Source organism: Homo sapiens, chromosome 12 (genome assembly GCF_000001405.40).
Source record: "Homo sapiens chromosome 12, GRCh38.p14 Primary Assembly".
Lineage (NCBI taxonomy): Eukaryota > Metazoa > Chordata > Mammalia > Primates > Hominidae > Homo > Homo sapiens.
Window position 1 is genome coordinate 47,305,140 of NC_000012.12, and position 2,991 is coordinate 47,308,130.

Here is a 2,991-nt window from a genome sequence, read left to right on the forward strand (position 1 = left end):
GGGGGAGTGCCTCGCTTCTTCAATGCCCCGCTGCTCAAACCTCTAAGGGAGAATGGAGATGGGAAGGCTATATAGAGCTCCGACCCCAGGGCAGTGTCTAGGAGTGATTGTTTACAGCTTCTGAAGCCCCAGCGGGCATGTGTTATAGGGTGCTCTTTTAGTTTCCCGTCTATAGGTGACTTGTGTTCATCAGCTCAATTCGACCCCCTTCGTTATCACAAGGACAGAGGGATTTCTGTATCCCGGGGTTTCTGTATCCCGGGGTTTCTTGCCTTGGTGCACCAGAAGAATTGGATCACACGTGGACTTGGAGAATGAGAGCAAGGTTTTATTGAGTGGAAGTGGCTCTCAGCAAATGGGGGATCCAGAAGGGAGACGGTTCTCCCCCGGAGTTGGGCCGCTCATCAACGAGGCTCTCCTCCAACTGCCCCAGCCAAACTCCGTATTGTTCTGCGGATCGGGGTGCCTGCTGGATTGCCTGTGCCAGTGCATTCCACTTGACACCCAGCCGCCTGTGTGTGCCTCCGCCCATGTGCTCCTGTGGACGTCTAGCCACTTCTGTGTCTGCCTGCTAGGTCTGGGAGGTTTCTATAGGCACAGGATGGGGGCATGGCAGGCCAGGGTAGTTTTGGGAAATGCAACATTTGAGCACCAAGACAGGAGTACCGTCCTCACCTAGGTCCTTGGGGGTAGAGGCCCAGCCAGGGACCACCCTCTTCCCTTCCCAGCACTCCGGTATCATTACTTATCTGTGTAATAATAGTGCTACAAACTTACTAGCCTGAAGGAATACACATTTATTATTTCTGTTTCTGTGGGTCAGGAGGACTTCCAGTTCCAAAATGGCAGCATAGAAGCATGCTGACTTCACTCCCTCCACAATAAACCAAAACCAAATGTACAATGTCAAGATTATCACCAGAAATATTCCAGAACTCATATATGAAAAAGAGTTCCCAGGGCCACAAAGAAGTGAAAAACTCTAAGCAGATGGTAAGAGAATTGGACTTCTGAGAGGTGACAATGTGCTAGCAGCCCTTGCTAGCTCTCGGGGCCTCCTCGGCCTCGGCGTCCGCTCTGGCCGTGCTTGAAGAGCCCTTCAGCCCACCACTGCGCTGTGGGGTCCCCTTTCTGGGGCTGGCGGAGGCTGGAGCCGGCTCCCTCTGCTCCAGGGAGGTGTGGAGGGAGAGGCGCAGACGAGAGCTGGGGCTGCGCGGTGCTTGCAGTCCGGCATGGGTTCTGGGTGGGCACGGGCTCGGAGGGCCCCGCACTCCGGGCAGCAGGCTGGTGCCTGCTGGGCTTGATCAGAGGCTGGGTCCCCTGCTTGGATCGCCATTCCCTCTTCACCGAGTTGTTGGCAACGATGGCGGGTCTCTGTCTCTTTCTGGCTTCCCCTTTTCCTCTTGGTTGTCTGGGACGAGCTCCTTCTGGGTTGCCGGAGTGTCCAGGATAGGTGCCGCAAAGTCAAGCCAGTGCCAGTGAAAGGTGAAGCCTGCTGGGCTTCTGGGATGGGTGGGGACTTGGAGAACTTTTGTGTCTAGCTAAAGGATTGTAAATGCACCAATCAGCACTCTGTGTCTAGCTAAAGGTTTATAAACACACCAATCAGTGCTCTGTGTCTAGCTAATTGGGTGGGGACTTGGAGAACTTTTGTGTCTAGCTAAAGGACTGTAAACGCACCAATCAGCACAATCAGCACTCTGTGTCTAGCTAAAGGTTTGTAAACGCACCAATCAGCACTCTGTCAAAATGGACCAATCAGCTCTCTGTAAAATGGAACAACCAGCAGGATGTGGGTGGGGCCATACAAGGGAATAAAAGCAGGTCACCCAAGCCAGCAGCCACAACGCGGGTACCGTTGCACGCTGTGGAGGGTTTAGCTCTTTGCAATAAATCTTGCTGCTGCTCACTCTTTGGGTTGGCACTGCCTTTATGAACTGTAACACTAACCACGAAGGTCTGCAGCTTCACTCCTGAAGCCAGCGAGACCACGAACTCACCAGGAGGGACGAACAATTCCAGATGGGAGGAACAAACAACTCCGGACACGCCACCTTTATGAACTGTAACACTCACCGCGAAGGTCTGCAGCTTCACTCCTGAGGCCAGCAAGACCATGAACCCACCGGGAGGAAGGAATAACTCCAGACGCATCGCCTTTAAGAGCTGTAACACTCACCACAAAGGGATGCAGCTTCACTCCTGATGTCAGCCACGAACCCACCAGAAGGAAGAAACTCCGGACCCATCTGAACATCTGAAGGAACAAACTCCGGACACACCATCTTTAAGAACTGCAACACTCACTGCGAGGATCCGCGGCTTCATTCTTGAAGTAAGCGAGTCCAAGAACCCACCAATTCTGGACACACTTCCACATTTGTGACGTCTCTCCCCTCATTCTGACTGGTATCAAGCACAAGAAATAATTTCCCCCAACTCAGTTTCTCACTGGAAAAAATGAGGTTGAGGTGGATAACCAACTTCATCATCCTGGGTTCCATGGCAAGAGACCCATCCCTACCTTAGAGCCACAGGAAGCACTGTGAGTGCCTGAAAAGAGAAATATCCCTGAGAACAGTCAGAACCGGTGGGGAGGGAAGACTACCATCCCCTGCCCTGGGAACTGCTTTGTAAATCAGCCAAACAAGACACCAAATCAGAGTGACTGTTCAGCAGCACCATACTGCAGAAGGTTTGTTCCACAGGTCTCCTGGGGACGAACTTCTAGCCAACCTTCCTACACTGCCAGGATATCCCCTTAGGGACCTCTGCCACTCAGAAAGGGCATGCTCTGATCATTTACTAGAGCTGAGGTGAACCTGGCGTAAAGACGCCACCTAGAGCTGAAAAGAAGACAGTCCATAGCAATAAAGAACCTTTAAGCAATTGTAGCCAATAAAAATCAAAACAAGCCAGACAGAGAAGACTGGAATAAATAATTAATCCTTCAATGTAAAGACATAGACATACATCCACAAGAAACAACAG

At 51.8% G+C, this 2,991-nt stretch overlaps 1 long non-coding RNA gene across 1 annotated transcript, besides 1 other annotated feature; it reads right to left on the bottom strand.

The window, feature by feature from the left end:
• Positions 1–777: 777 nt before the first annotated feature.
• LOC105369747 (uncharacterized) lies at positions 778–2,260 on the bottom strand. Its single transcript, NR_135024.1, has 2 exons — positions 2,180–2,260; positions 778–1,541 (listed from the first exon to the last, which is right to left on the bottom strand). It is a non-coding gene; the product is annotated as an uncharacterized LOC105369747 (long non-coding RNA).
• Positions 1,178–2,377: an enhancer, noted in NCBI's record as "BRD4-independent group 4 enhancer chr12:47700100-47701299 (GRCh37/hg19 assembly coordinates)". NCBI's record gives its function as "activates an origin of replication core promoter dependent on BRD2, P300/CBP, MED14 and CDK7 cofactors, and independent of BRD4, by STARR-seq in HCT116 cells {active_cell/tissue: HCT116}" and the evidence as "EXISTENCE:reporter gene assay evidence [ECO:0000049][PMID:35650434]".